This window comes from Homo sapiens, chromosome 3 (genome assembly GCF_000001405.40).
Source record: "Homo sapiens chromosome 3, GRCh38.p14 Primary Assembly".
Taxonomy (NCBI): domain Eukaryota; kingdom Metazoa; phylum Chordata; class Mammalia; order Primates; family Hominidae; genus Homo; species Homo sapiens.
Window position 1 is genome coordinate 100,906,055 of NC_000003.12, and position 14,853 is coordinate 100,920,907.

Consider the following 14,853-nt stretch of genomic DNA (forward strand, 5'->3'; position numbering starts at 1 on the left):
TTTTAGAAAACAAAACCCCTAGTTTTCCTAAATTGTTCTCACTCTAGCAGAGTCTCTTAGAGTTAACCTTTTAGATTCTTCCTTCATATGGATTAATTATGCCTAATGCCTAGAGGTTTTTAAAGAAAGACCCGAAACACTAGAAAAATAACATATACAGAAGCCAAAGATAGTACCATGATCCAAGACATATGGTTATATGAGCAATTTAAAAATACCTTTTGTTATGATCACAGTTATTTTGCATAAAGCATAGGCTGTTACAGCCAATTACAAATTGGAACAAATGTCATTACCTGGGTGCATGTGTTGGCTCTTACTGCTCATTAAATATTTCCAACATACACATATTTTGGGAGTATTTGTGCTCTATTGGGGACACAGGTGTGGAAAAATAAGACTCAAGAGTAGGATTTCTATTTCTGTTCTGTACAATAAATTCTTTGTGGATTTATAGTAGCCTGGAAATATATACATTGTAGACTGAAATTCTGCCAATATATGTTACTTCATTTAGAAAGATATATACCTAAAATGTCAATTTAGGAAAAGTTGCATAGAATGCAGTTACCTTAACAAAGTTTCCATTCCTAATAGTTAATTCTATACAATGTTGCAGACTAATTAAATCTAATTTGCTTAATATTTTGAATGCCCTATTGTGGAGGACAGGGACAGTTTACTGCTTAAGGAAATCTACTGTTGAAATATTTTGTTAATTACTGGATTTTTCAGTAATACTCTTATAATTGCAGTTTGATAAATCCCAATTTTCACATTTTGGGTCTGCTCCCATTAGAGGACGCCTGCATTGCAAGCCTCACTGCTTCAGAATATTGTCACAGGGAAGCTTAGTTCTGCATGCAAAGTTTCTGCTATTAAAGTGTCCACAAAAGAAGCATGAAATAAACCAAGATAATCCTAAAAGAAATTAGGTAAGGGGGCCTGAAAAAGGCCCTTGCTATGTTTAACAATTTTTTTGTTAAACTAATTTTCTGGACATAAGAGCACAGACTCTGGAAACAGATTAAATCCTATGCAACTACATGCTAGTACAAGTCAAAGTACTTAACCTCTGTGTACCTCAGTTTCCTGCAAAGTAGGAAAAATCATACCTAGTCTCAAAAGGTTCTTAAAGGTAATTAAAGTTGTAACAAAGGCCAGGCATGGTGGCTCAGCCTGTAATCCCAGCACTTTGGGAGGCCAAGGTAGGGAGATCACTTGAGCTCAGGAGTTTGAGACTAGCCTGGGCAACACAGTGAAACCCCATCTCTACAAAAAAGACAAAAATTATCCATGCATTGTGATGGGCACCTGTAGTCCCAGCTACTCAGGAGGCTGAGGTGGGAAGATTGCTTGAGCCCATGAGGCACAGGTTGCAGTGAGCTGAGATTGCACCACTGTACTTCAGCCTGGGTGACAGTGAGACCTTGTTTTGGGGGGGGAATAAAAGCTGTAACAATGTCAACACAAGAAGTATGAATTAAGTATTAGTAACAATGGTGATTTCTAGAAAGCAGAGTTTGTGTTCTACAAAGTCTAAGGACATATTACAAGAGAGGAAAATGTTCAAAAAATCTTTACAGCAAGCATCACAAGTTCCAAAATGCAAGCATTTCACAATAAACATTACAAACCAAACTCATTCATAAATATCGATGCAAAAAAACCCTAAAAATATACTGACAGGCAGAATCTGGATCTGACAGCACATAATACAATAATAAATTATTACCACATACAGTTTATCCCAGGAATGTAACATAAAGGGAAAGAAAAGGCCGGGAGTGGTAGCTCACGCCTGTAATCCCAGCACTTTGGGAGGCCTAGGCGGGCAGATCATGAGGTCAGGAGATCGAGACCATCCTGGCTAACACAGTGAAACCCCATCTCTACTAAAAAATACAAAAAATTAGCCGGGCGTGGTGGTGGGTGCCTGTTGTCCCAACTACTCGGGAGGCTGAGGCAGGAGAATGGTGTGAACCTGGGAGGCAGAAGTTGCAGTGAGCCGAGATCGTGCCACTGCACTGCAGCCTGGGTGACAGAGCAAAGACTCTGTCTAAAAAAAAAAAAAAGAAAAAAGAAAAAAAAGTAAGCCTATTTCCACAGGTGCTGAAAAGTCATTTGAAAGAAATGCTAACTCTGAATAAATAAGAATTCAGTGGAATACTTTCTTATAAAATATATCTTAAAACATCTAAATCAAATGTATGATCCTCCTTTACTAAACATGCCAGACCCTTGCTGGCACCAACAATGATACTGGGTAAAAAAACAACGGGACTGTTGATAACTGAGTTGAATTTCCCATTATTCCTATACACCAATAACAGACAAACAGCAAGCCAAATAATGAGTGAACTCCCATTCACAACTGCTACAAAGAGAATAAAATACCTAGGAATCCAACTTACAAGGGATGTGAAGGGCTTCTTCAAGAAGAACTACAAACCCCATAATCTCAGCCCAAAATCTCCTTAAGCTGATAAGCAACTTCAGCAAAGTCTCAGGATACAAAATCAATGTGCAAAAATCACAAGCGTTCTTATACACCAATAACAGACAAACAGAGAGCCAAATCATGAGTGAACTCCCATTCACAATTGCTACAAAGAGAATAAAATACCTAGGAATCAAACTTACAAGGGATGTGAAGGACCTCTTCAAGGAGAACTACAAACCACTGCTCAAGGAAATAGGAGAGGACACAAACAAATGGAAAAACATTCCATGCTCATGGATAGGAAGAATCAATATTGTGAAAATGGCCATACTGCTCAAAGTAATTTATAGGTTCAATGCCATCCTGATCAAACTACCATTGACTTTCTTCACGGAATTGGAAAAAACTACTTTCAATTTCATATGGAATCAAAAAAGAGCCTGCATAGCCAAGACAATCCTAAGCAAAAATAACAAAACTGGAGGCATCACACTACCTGACTTCAAACTATACCACAAGGCTACATTAACCAAAACAGCATGGTACTGGTACCAAAACAGATACATAGACCAATGAAACAGAACAGAGGCCTCAGAAATAACAGCACGCATCTACAACCATCTGATGTTTGACAAACCTGACAAAAACAAGCAAATGGAGAAAGGATTCACTACTTAACAAATGGTGTTGGGAAAACTGGCTAGCCATATGCAGAAAGCTGAAACTGCATCCCTTCCTTACACCTTATACAAAAATTAACTCAAGATGGATTAAAGACTGAAACGTAAGACCCAAAACCATAAAAACCCTAGAAGAAAACCGAGGCAATACCATTCAGGACATAGGCATGGGCAAAGACTTCATGACTAAAACACCAAAAGCAATGGCAAAAAAAAAAAGCCAAAATAGTCAAATGGGATCTGATTAAACTAAAGAGCTTCTTCTGCACAGCAAAAGAAACTACCATCAGAGTGAACAGGCACCTACAGAATGGGAGAAAGTTTTTGTGATCTATCCATCTGACAAAGGGTTAATATCCAGAATCTACAAAGAACTTAAACAAATTTACAAGAAAAAAAAAACAAACATCCCCATCAAAAAGTGGGCGAAGGACATGAACAGACACTTCTCAAAAGAAGACATTTATGCAGCCAACAAACATATGAAAAAATGCTTATCATCACTGGTCATTAGAGAAATGCAAATCAAAACCACAATCAGATACCATCTCATTCCAGGTAGAACGCCAATCATTAAAAAGTCAGGAAACAACAGATGCTGAGAGGATGTGGAGAAATAGGAACACTTTTACACTGTTGGTGGGAGTGTAAATTAGTTCAACCACTGTGGAAGACAGTGTGGCAATTCCTCAAGGATCTAGAACTAGAAATACCATTTGACCCAGCAATCCCTTTACTGGGTATATGCCCAAAAGAATTATAAATCATTCTACTATAAAGACACATGCACATGTATGTTTATTGCAGCACTGTTCACAATAGCAAAGACTTGGAAGCAACCCAAATGCCCATCAATGATAGAGTGGATAAAGAAAATGTGGCACATATACACTATGCAGCCATAAAAAAGGATGAGTTCATGTCCTTTGCGGGGACATGGATGAAGCTGGAAACCATCATTCTCAACAAACTAACACAGGAACAGAAAACCAAACGCCACATGTTCTCACTCATTAGTGGGAGGTGAACAATGAGAACACATGGACACAGGGAGGGGAACATCACACACTGAGGCCTGTTGGGAAGTCGGGGGCAGGAGGAGGGATGACATTAGGAAAAATACCTAATGTAGATGATGGGTTGATGAATGCAGCAAACCACCATGGCACTTGTATACCTATGTAACAAACCTGCATATTCTGCACATGTACCCCAGAACTGAAAGTATAATTTAAAAAAGGTAAAAAAAAAATTATCAGTTTAGGAGAATTTTAATGACTTCGATAAAAAGTAAATTTTCATACAAATTTCTTTCTACATTGTGAAAATAAATTCTATTTCTTTCCTATTCTTGCTTTTCCTTTTTTTTTAAAAAAAAAATAGAGATGGGTCTCACTATGCTGCCCAGGTTGGTCTCTAACTCCTGGCCTCAATAAATTCTCCTGCCTTGTCCTCCCTAAGTGCTGGAATTACAGGTGTGAGCCACTGTGCCCGGCCTCACTTTTCCAGTTATAAAGAATGTGTCAGTGTAAGGCTTTCCCTCAACAACTTAGTGAAATGTGAAAAAAGATTTTGAAATAAAAGCATCTGATGTTTGAAAACATACTTTACAAATTAAACATGCTAAGACTTATCTGTGGATTACTGCAAACAGGGGAATATAGTAAAAACAAATGAATTTATCTGTATTAGTGCAAGTAGCTCAACATAGTAAAAACAATAGAATAGAAATGTTTGGGCTTTACCCATCCGCCAAATGAAAAAAAAATCTCCTTTTAGGTTAAAAGGATCAAGATGTAGGAGACTGGATATTCACTAGATCCCTTCATTTTCTCAAACTCTTCATCTATTTCTGGGCTGCTCATTGTAGATGCTTTTTCTTGGTTACTACTATCAGTATCTGTTTTACATGGTTTGTCTTATGTCTCTAACTGCTGTGATTTCTTGAATTGTCATCTGTCATCTAAGTCTAAGGCTTTATGCTTAATCATTTGTGGTCTACTAGCTGGACTAGCTTCAGGAATGTCAGTGTGTTCTACCATTAAGGTCAGTTTGGCTACTACATCGAGGTGGAGGTTGTTGTTACAGCTTTTAGAAACATGTCTGTTTTTTAAAGACACAACACACGAATGAAGAAATTCAGAATCTGGATAAAAGGTCCATAATGCTTGACCAGGAAAAATGTTCCCCTGAGGGTCTTTTTAGATATTCTTCTCTCAGGCTGCCTGAATCTATGCTCATCTCCTTTTTTCCAATTTCTTGTTTTAATCTGTTTATATCCTTTACTAGTTTATTTATTGCTTGTTCATTGTTTTTCACTTTTTTTTGCATATACTCCTTAATTCCTCTTGTAATGAAGCATTACATATTTTATCTTATGTACCTCCTTTACTGATCCATCTTCTTCAAAAAATTTAGAGCTGTGTGTTTTTACTGCTTGGCTAAAACCAGTGGATGTAGAGGAACCTGATACAGTTTTATAACCTAGTTGTTCAGAAATATCCAGATTGGCAACCACTAAAGGTACCCTGTGAAAAAGTCCTCTTTGAGGTTTCAAGGCATGTTTCAGTCGATGAGTAGCGTAGCTTTCTGTTATTATACTTGGTGTTAATAGCAGAAAAATAAGTTCTTGGTTTGAAAAATGCTCCTGCAAGTTTTTGTGAAGCAGCCTCTCTCTAAACGTCATGATCTGATCTGAATGACGACAGAATTTGTACCAACCTATCACATTCTTTTTGACATTGGAGAATATTTTCTTCAGTGCTTGCTCATTTACTTCACTTGAGGAATTATAAAAGCTAAAAAAAGCATGGAATATATTTCTGAATGTCAATTGTATAAACAACTTCAACATCATCCATTTGGGAATCAGTAATGCTATTCTTGCCTTCATCTTTTACTTCCTTAAGAAGAACACCTTCCGTGTCCCAGACAGTGCTGGGGTTGTGTAAGGCAAGCTGGTCAACACAAAGCCCAAGAACACCTGCTCTTACCCTTCGTGCTGCCGTCGGCTCAGGCTTCAGGAGACCTAACTTCACAACTTCATTAATCTAAAACGCGTCTAAAACAGTTTATAGAAAAGGAAATCCTCTCTTTTGTAAAAAAAAAAAAAAAAAAAAAAAAAAAACAGACAACATAAAATGTATGCATCAATGAGTCAAAGGAAGCTCTTTCCATAAGTATAAAACAAAAACCTCAAGGGATACAAGAGCAGTACCATTAATTAGCAACTTGTTTCTTAGTTTTATATAAAATAGACTGATTTGCAGTAGAAAATGCTTTAGAATTTGATGAAATAAGGTAATTATTTTTATTAGAAGCCAGTGTGGCACATCATGAGACCCTAACAAGAATAAAATCACCCACAGAATTAAAAAAAAACTATATTCATGGAAATCTCCATAACAGAAATATTGTCGATTCTGATTTGCATCTGTAAGTGCTCACAAGCCACATTTAGCTATATTCAGACCTGAGCGGGTATAATCTAAATTTAAGCATCCTCTAGCTCTTGACATTTGGCCACAGCTCCTGTACCGCATTTCATCAACACTAAGCCTGAGTAACGTATACCTGAAAAACACCCTTGAGAAATATTGCTGTCTTTAAGCTCCAGCAGGGAGTTCCACTCACCCACTAGTTGGTTCTCAAAAAACGGACCTCCTAAGTGTGGCCATGGAACAGGTATATAAACAGCTCACCAGCGCCCTGGGCTCTGTGACTCTGTAGCTATCAGCTGCCTTTGCCTCTGCTGTAGATGGGTCCCCTGTGGCCTATTGGTAGATGAAGGGGAGAAGGGAGAGGGGAACCCCACTGAAGAAGTCAGTCTAGGCAGAGGCGGGCAGGCCTGTGGGGAGCTGGAATGTAAAAAGAGTAGAATGCTGTTGTCTCCTCACTTATTGAAAGGCTACTTACCAGTAGTTCTAAGTTTCAACAGGGGGACCAACTTTGCACTCCACCCACCCCACCCATTGTCCTATTCCGGTGACAAAGAACTGACTAATAAAACCAAATTTACACCACAACAGCAAACTGGTTTCAGCAATGGGGTATAAAATGATTCATAACTCAACTGTAGTCCACATCCACCCTGAAGACCATTGCTGAAAAAAGACAGGCTCCAATATTGTTGATGCCATCACTCCACAGGACAGAATCAATAACGACTACAGAAAACCTGCCCATCCATGATAATTAAGTGACCCTGAAGTAATTACATATGAAAAGGCCAGAACAGCAGCAACTGAAAGTCTGGACCAACTCAAGAACATCACTAACATTCTTTCAGGAAGGATGGCGTCACTTCTGGAAAAACACTGATGGTTATTTTTCTAGAAAATTGGGGAAATCCTGCTGTCTGCTTGGGCATGTGCTAAGTTGTAGCTTTGCAAAATTTCATGGTAGCTTGAAGCTCAAGTAGAATAGAGTAGCATAAGAATAGAGTAGCATAAGTAGCATAAGTAATGTCAACTTTACTATGTTAATACATACAATATAATTGACTAATATACAATGCTAATTTTTAATACATCACTCAGTAGATTACTAGCACATTGCCCTTAAACATAAAAAAGAATGTCTATAGAATTATGGAGCATCACAAAGTAATATAAGTCCTCCACCTTTTAGAGTATTCCTAAGCCCCTGAAGAAAGCTATAAGAGGCTGAGGATTACTCTGGACATGGGCCAGGCTTTCAGTTCATGCTGTTTATTCATGTACCTCTAAACATGGAAACATAGTAATTGCTCAATAAACATGTTCTGAAAGAATTAATGAATCTGCTCTTCTACCCCTTTAATGCCTGGGGCTAGAAGAAAGATGAATGAAGCCCGAGGCTTTGCAGGCAGAAAGGAAAAAAAATAATTAGAGGGTTGGGAAATAGCACAATCAGCACAAACAAGTATTTTTTGAAAAGTAATCAAACAATTAGTCTTTAATAAGTCCTATTTGTAGGACTGTTGTTTTTTTCCTCAGAAAAAGTATGTTTTCATGTGGAAAAAAAAAACTTTTCCTTCTTTGCCTGAAAAATAACTGGAGAGCAAATTTTAAAGCAAATCCTACACTATTCAGTAATTATTTCCTTTAAACATTACAAGATCTGTTGAATAATGAACCCACACCCAGTTTGACAGAACACTCTGTTATGCCCCATGGCTTGGAGAATTCTGGCTTATCTCAGTCTTTAAGATGCAGTCTGCGGAACAGGCCCCTGGCAGGCTGAGCTCATACTAAAGGTTAAACTACTCACAAAAGTGCAGCCAGCCGTACCACAGAACAACAATGCAAAAATGACTAGGAACAGCAGCCACTGCTGGGATTCCAGAATGTTCACAGGCCTGTTCTGAAGGGAGCTCACAGCTCATGTTGGTGCGGATGTCACAAGAGAAGTTGCTCAGAATTGTTTGGAATTGAATAACAGCAGTGAGAAGCAGCCCCTCATTGGCCCGCTATAGAGAGTGAGTGGAGCCTCTACATATGAAATGGGAGTGCAGCATTGATTGGAAGAGAGGATGTGGGGAAAGGGGTATGGGAGGAAGACAACGTTAAAGGGGGGAAAGAGGGCATCTCCTTCCAGTAATGTGTACTCCCAATGGCTCTGCCATAATTGATCACCATTTACAGGTTTCTAAGGTTGTCTGGAAGAAAAGACACACTTTTTCTAAACAGAGGGTCATTTTAAAGACAGTCCTTTGAGGAAGACATTATTGGAGTTTTTCTCAGTTTTACTCTCATTCTGTGAGAGTTGGGGAGGCAATGCTATTAAAAGCATGCATTTCACCCACGGCTGACTACATAATTTGCAGGGTCGGATGCAAAATCAAAAGGTAGGACCCTAAAAAGAGTGCCATTGAAGGCACAAAATTCAACTTTTACTTTCTTCCACCATCTCTGTCTTGACCCATCATAATGTTTATTTGCTATTTAATATTGCACTGTACAGGTGGGTGCAGACCCTCAGCCCACTCTCTTCCCCCTCCACTTACTATCTCCCTCCAGCAGCAGTTCCAGGATCAAGATCAAAGTGCTTTACTCTTATCCCCCAACCCACCCCCCAGGGTAGAAAAGTCAATCTCCCTTCCCTGCAGGTCTGCCATCCCAATTCATAGACCTCCAAGGGATTGCCATTTCTGCACTGGGACATACTGTGTACCTGATGCAGGTGAGAGGGAGACTTGCCCCAACCAAATGCCCTACTTAATGCACAGTGGCTCTGCCAGACACTGCGAGGACTGCTGCCGCCATGCCCGGCCAGATGTCATTATGGAGGTGTGCACACCCAAGTCCCTGCTGGAGGTGGAGGGCAGCTGAAGTCGCTGAATAGGGATGGGAAGTAGAAGGCAGCCAAGCAGCAGGGACACCAGGGCAGGAGGACATGACAGTTGAGAATCAAACTAGGGGAGGGGCTGGGAGGCCAAGCATAAGAACCCAGGCTCCAAGACTCTGCGCCTGCTCTGTTGTCTGATAGGACCTCACTTACAAAATAAAACGGAAAGATAAGTTAAGAATTCATGACACTGACAGCAGGGCATTAAACCCAGAATGCAAGGTCCTTTAAGTGCACTGGTCATCCGATCTTGAAGCCAGCCCTGACCCTTCCACTTCCAGTGCCTGCACACTGACCACAACGCTGGGGTTCCAGGTCATTTCATTTCCTGTGCTCCTGGCATAGAGTTGGGAGCATCTCCTTCAGCTACTGTCCCAAACTAACCCTGCTTCACTCGAATGCTCTGGCAGATTCTCTCCCTGATACCACAAATGTTTAAAAACTATTTATCTTACCCACTTGCCACATCCTTTCCTAGTTTAGCAGACCTGTTAGGCATTAAAATTGTTGGCTTTATTGCATGTAGTTTTTTCCTTGCCCGTGTTTTATATGTGCACCCCACAGAGAAGTTCAGAGTGTTGTCTGTTAACTGGTTTAAGCCTTGGCAAGGGCTTGATTTTGAAGCAGAGACTGTACACTCGCACACACACATTTTTCCAGTGAATTCACCACTTTGTTCATGTTATCGCTACAGGAAGTGTGTCTGGATATTTTTATTTATCAGGACTTTGTTCGGATATTTGTCTTTCAAATTATAAAGCCAGGTCACATTAGCTCTCAGATAGTATCCAAAGTCAAAGCCGTCAAATCAGCAAAGGTTTTTCTTCCTTTTCAAATGTTCTTGTCAGCTTTTCCATGTAGGAGTGGGGAGTCAGGAATAATTTACACAAGATGAGTTTTTAACATTGAGTTCAAAAGTACTGGAACACTTATAGGCCACGGAGAAAAGCACGTTGGCATGGTGTTCAGCTATACAGGCTGAGGAGTCAGCCTGCTACTTGTAGATTTCTTAACCTCTTGGGGACTCACTGTCTTCAGTGGGGCAAAGAGAATGCTAATAGTACCTGCTTCATGGGGTTGCTCTAAGGATTTAATAACCCATTTCCATAAAGCCCTTAGCCCAGCACATTGTAAGTGCTCAAAAATATTAAATCATCAGCTAACTGGTTGATAAGAAGTGCCACTCCAGCATTTGACCATCTATGTGCCCAGCCTGGAGAATGGAACACAGCAGTGGCAAACCTGTGGCAAACCCTCCAACCCTTGATTTTGTCTCCCTTTTCTTGATGCAAAGCATCTCCAGTGGCAGAGAAAAGGCTGGGCTATTACCTTGGGATCAGATTGTGAAACATCTGGGGACCATGCTAAGAATTCTAGGCTTTCTCCTGTATGTAGATTGCATATAGATTTTTCAACTAAACTAGGGTACTGTTGAAAGGGAGCACAATTAATTATATCAGAACAGCAGGTGTCAACCATGACTCTATGCCAGATAAAACAGGGTATATAGTTACTTTACTAATAGGGTAGAGTCAACCCTTTACCCCAGTTGAATAATTTTTTCTCCTGGATATTTTTACTATAGGCAACTAGGCAGGGAGCCTTCCCTAGCAAACTCTGGGTAGTCAGCTATTACAGCTGTGAATATATTGACCCTGATTGTGGAGCCCATCAGGGAAGGTGAGACTCAGCTCTGGTCCTCAGGAGCTTACTATTTTGCTGGTGAGACATGACACAGAAGAAACACACACACGACAAAAACAATTGGGGAACAATACAGAAGAGTATAACCTAATGCTGGCTTTCATGGCATAGCACTTGGTATGACCCACATGTGTCAGAGAGCACTGAATTTCCATGGAATGTAAAATATTTAAAGGAAAATAATATATGGATAATCAGGAAAGTTGATGTGACCATGTTCCTTGGTTTTGAAATGTAAAAAAAAAAAATTCTAAAGTTTAAATGCTATCTTATATATCTATTCCAGATAACCCTTTAATATCCTTTTACTGGCAGCTGTCTTTCCACTTAAGACCCCTTCTCCATAGCAAGACTTTTGCAATGAACCTGGGACCATATATCTTTTTGGCCCATGACAAAAAGGGCCATTAGCCATTCGGGGACACTCTTTTGGATATTATCGAGAATGACTTTTTAAAAGTTAGATTTTGATCTCAGTGCATTGTGGGTTACATTTGAAAAAACTGTGCTTTATAGTAAAATATTGTGAATTTTTGTATTGTACTTCCAAGAAAAGATAGACTTGGTGACAGTTTATCATTTGAAGTCAAGCAGACCATGAAAACATTGTAGTTGAATCCAGTAGAAAAAAACAGGACTTTGAAGGGATGTTTTCTTTACCAAAACATGATGAAATGGTCATCTCTTATCATACAATGGCTTTCTGGTATAAACTTATGGTGAATTGTTTAAGAGATGGTGTACATTTATTAAGAAATTGATACCTATTAGGCGAATTTCTTTAAAAATCCCCTTTGAAGCTGAAGTTCTGGTAAATTTTGCGCCTTGGAGGAAAAAAAAATCAAATGATTCTGGGATTCCTGTTTTTTTAAAATGATAACTTTGGACTCATCTTGAAGATTTAAAGCCAAATACTTCCCAAGTGGTAAATCTATTTCCAAAGAAATAACTAAGAATTAGATGACATTTTGAAAATAATTTTAAAAGAGAAAAATCTATCTTAAATCGTACCCACAGCTGTTTCAGACTTTTTGGGCCTTTCCTTTTCCTCTTTCCCACCTATTCATCCACCCGTCCACCCATCCACCCATCCACCCATCCACCCGTCCACCTGTCCACCCGTCCACCCATCCACCCGTCCACTCATCTATTCCTTTATTGTGTTTCTGAAATCAATGAAAACATTGAGGGTAAAAAGAAATCTAAGGTTCCTGGGGTCCTTAGCTGCTGGGAGTTTTCTCCTTGGGTGAAGTGTAGAGGCAGACAAGACACACAAAAATAAAAACAAATAGCAATTGATTAACCTTAAGAATGATAAAGCAAATGGTAAGCCTCCAGGATATTCATGGAGAGGGACTGAAATGTCTATCCTGGCCAGAAATGGCCTTGTGTACAGTAGATAAAGTAGGACTTGATGGATGGGCAGCACATAACAAGCAGAGATGGTGGTGGTGGAGGAAGGGGAGAACAAGTTTTGAGGATGAAATGAGTGCCTTACATACTTAAACCTTAATGAGGAGATAGCCATAATACATCTCCCCACCCACTTTTTAACCATTTTTTACAGGACATTATAGAAGCAACACCTTTGTCCTGTAGAACAGATAAAGTTCCCTAAGTTCTGAGAGGCAGTAGAACACAGTGGTTCAGAGCTCAGACTTCCTAGCTTCAAATCCTTTACCTGCCATACAGTAGGTGAGCAGTGTTAGGAAGTTTAAAACTCTTGGAGCTTCAACCTCCTTCTGGGTAAAAGAGAACTAACAGTACTACCTATCCCTGCATAACTGCCATCTTGCATCCGTATCGAGTCTGATATTCACCCCTGGCAGCTGTCTTGCTCCCTGCCTTTGAAGCCTCTTGCCGTCTCTCTAAGGACTCTGCCAGGAAGAGAGGGCTCAGCTGGCTTCAATGGCTGGTACTACATCATTTCCTTCTATTGGTTTATCCTGTTTCTTTTTTTCATAAGTTATTTTTTTCATCTTCTTTATATTCCCTATATAGTTCCTTCAGTTATTTTCAACCCCTATTTCTGTTTTTCTTCAATGAATGCATAATCACTTATGATAGTTATATTTCAGTGTAATAAACAGTATCAATCTCTATTATTTTATATTTCATCCCACTTTCATAAAAATAGAGCATTATTAAACACTTTTATGATAGAGAAGAAGAGAACAACTGAAATTCTAAGGGTTGCCATGGTAAAATAGGAAAAATTGTGCATTTCCTCTTGCCGTCTATACCAATATAAAGATTAAGGGTAAACCTTGTAAATGGTACTAATAATCTGTAGAAATATAAATTGCATTAAAATTTATAAGCATACAATTTATACTGACTCATATCTGATCAATCGTAAATCAACTTTGCTTTTAAATTTTTGAAAATGTTTCACTGTGAAATAAAGTGAGAAACTTCAAAGTAAGAAACTGATGGTTGAATTTTAGCCCAAATGCGCTGAGATAGAATTGCCATCATTTAAGTAAATTAAAGCGTCATGCACTTATTTTTATCTGTTTAGTAGGACAGGTCAAAATTCTCGCTATCTTCTTGCTAAAAATTGCTTTATTTGAATAAGCGATTGAAAAAGTGAGATCTAGAGATGACAGACTTTTCCAGGTATATATTTTTGAGGGAGTCACCATATTTTTCTTTGGAGGCCACAGCTAAGGAATTCTAAGAGGCACCTGATGACTCTCTTCACCAAAGGCACGAAACAGTCAGCTTTGACACAGGATACCCTTGATAATTAAGAGATAATAATGACTTTGGGAGAGAGCTGTGTGTATGCATCAGCTACTGTGCCATCATCTTAGATTTTGCTTATTTTGTTTTTTAATGTTGTTTTGAGAGTTGACCCTGACGAGAAACATACTTGGGTATGATAGATGGGCATGGCTGCCTTTCAGTGACTAACAGCTCTGCTAAAACAATCTATCCTCTACAATTTTACCAACACTATCTCCGCACCCACAAATATAAAACAAAAACCACAAAACTGCCACTTAGACCAGGCTTTTTCAACCTAGGCACTAACCTCTTAGAGCTGGCCAGAACTTTAGTGGAAAGTTAACCCAATAGTTATTAGCAATTGAGACAAAGCTCAGAAGTGTTAGGTAAATTTTCCAAGGCCACTCTGCTTGTTATAACAGCAACTGACAAAATTTATAAAACATGCCTACTCTGTGCTAGAGTCTATATTAGCTTCTTTTTTTTAAATTTTTTATTTTTTTAAGATGGAGTCTTGCTCTGACGCCCAGGCTGGAGTGCATTGGCGTGATCTTGGCTCACTGCAACCTCCCCCTCCCAGGTTCAAGCAATTCTCTGCCTCAGCTTCCTGAGTAGCTGGGATTACAGGCACCCGCCCCCATGCCCGGCTAATTTTTGCATTTTTAGTAATGACAGGGTTTTACTATCTTGGACAGGCTGGTCTTGAACTCCTGACCTCGTGATCCACCTGCCTCGGCATCTCAAAGTGCTGGGATTACAGGCATGAGCCACCACACCCAGCCTATATTAGCTTCTTTATATGATTCAGCCATAGTCTTTACAATGCTTCTGAAAGATTATTCTCTATTTTATAAATGAGAAAAATATAATTCAGATAATTTAAACTACTTACCCACAACTATTCCACAATAAGTCGTGTTGAATTTGAACCCAGGTCTGTCTGACTCAAAAGTAAACAGGTATTCTTTC

General features: G+C 39.2%; 1 protein-coding gene and 1 pseudogene across 57 annotated transcripts in view, besides 1 other annotated feature; both read right to left on the minus strand.

Annotated features, from left to right (window-relative positions):
* The window catches only part of ABI3BP (ABI family member 3 binding protein), a 244,266-nt gene that overhangs the window by 156,899 nt on the left and 72,514 nt on the right, over window positions 1–14,853 (minus strand). The window lies entirely within an intron of this gene.
* Window positions 4,727–6,150, minus strand: ABRAXAS1P1 (ABRAXAS1 pseudogene 1; annotated as a pseudogene).
* Window positions 8,271–8,565: a silencer, noted in NCBI's record as "tiled region #14979; K562 Repressive non-DNase unmatched - State 24:Quies". NCBI's record gives its function as "represses a minimal TATA promoter and a strong SV40 promoter by Sharpr-MPRA in K562 cells {active_cell/tissue: K562}" and the evidence as "EXISTENCE:reporter gene assay evidence [ECO:0000049][PMID:27701403]".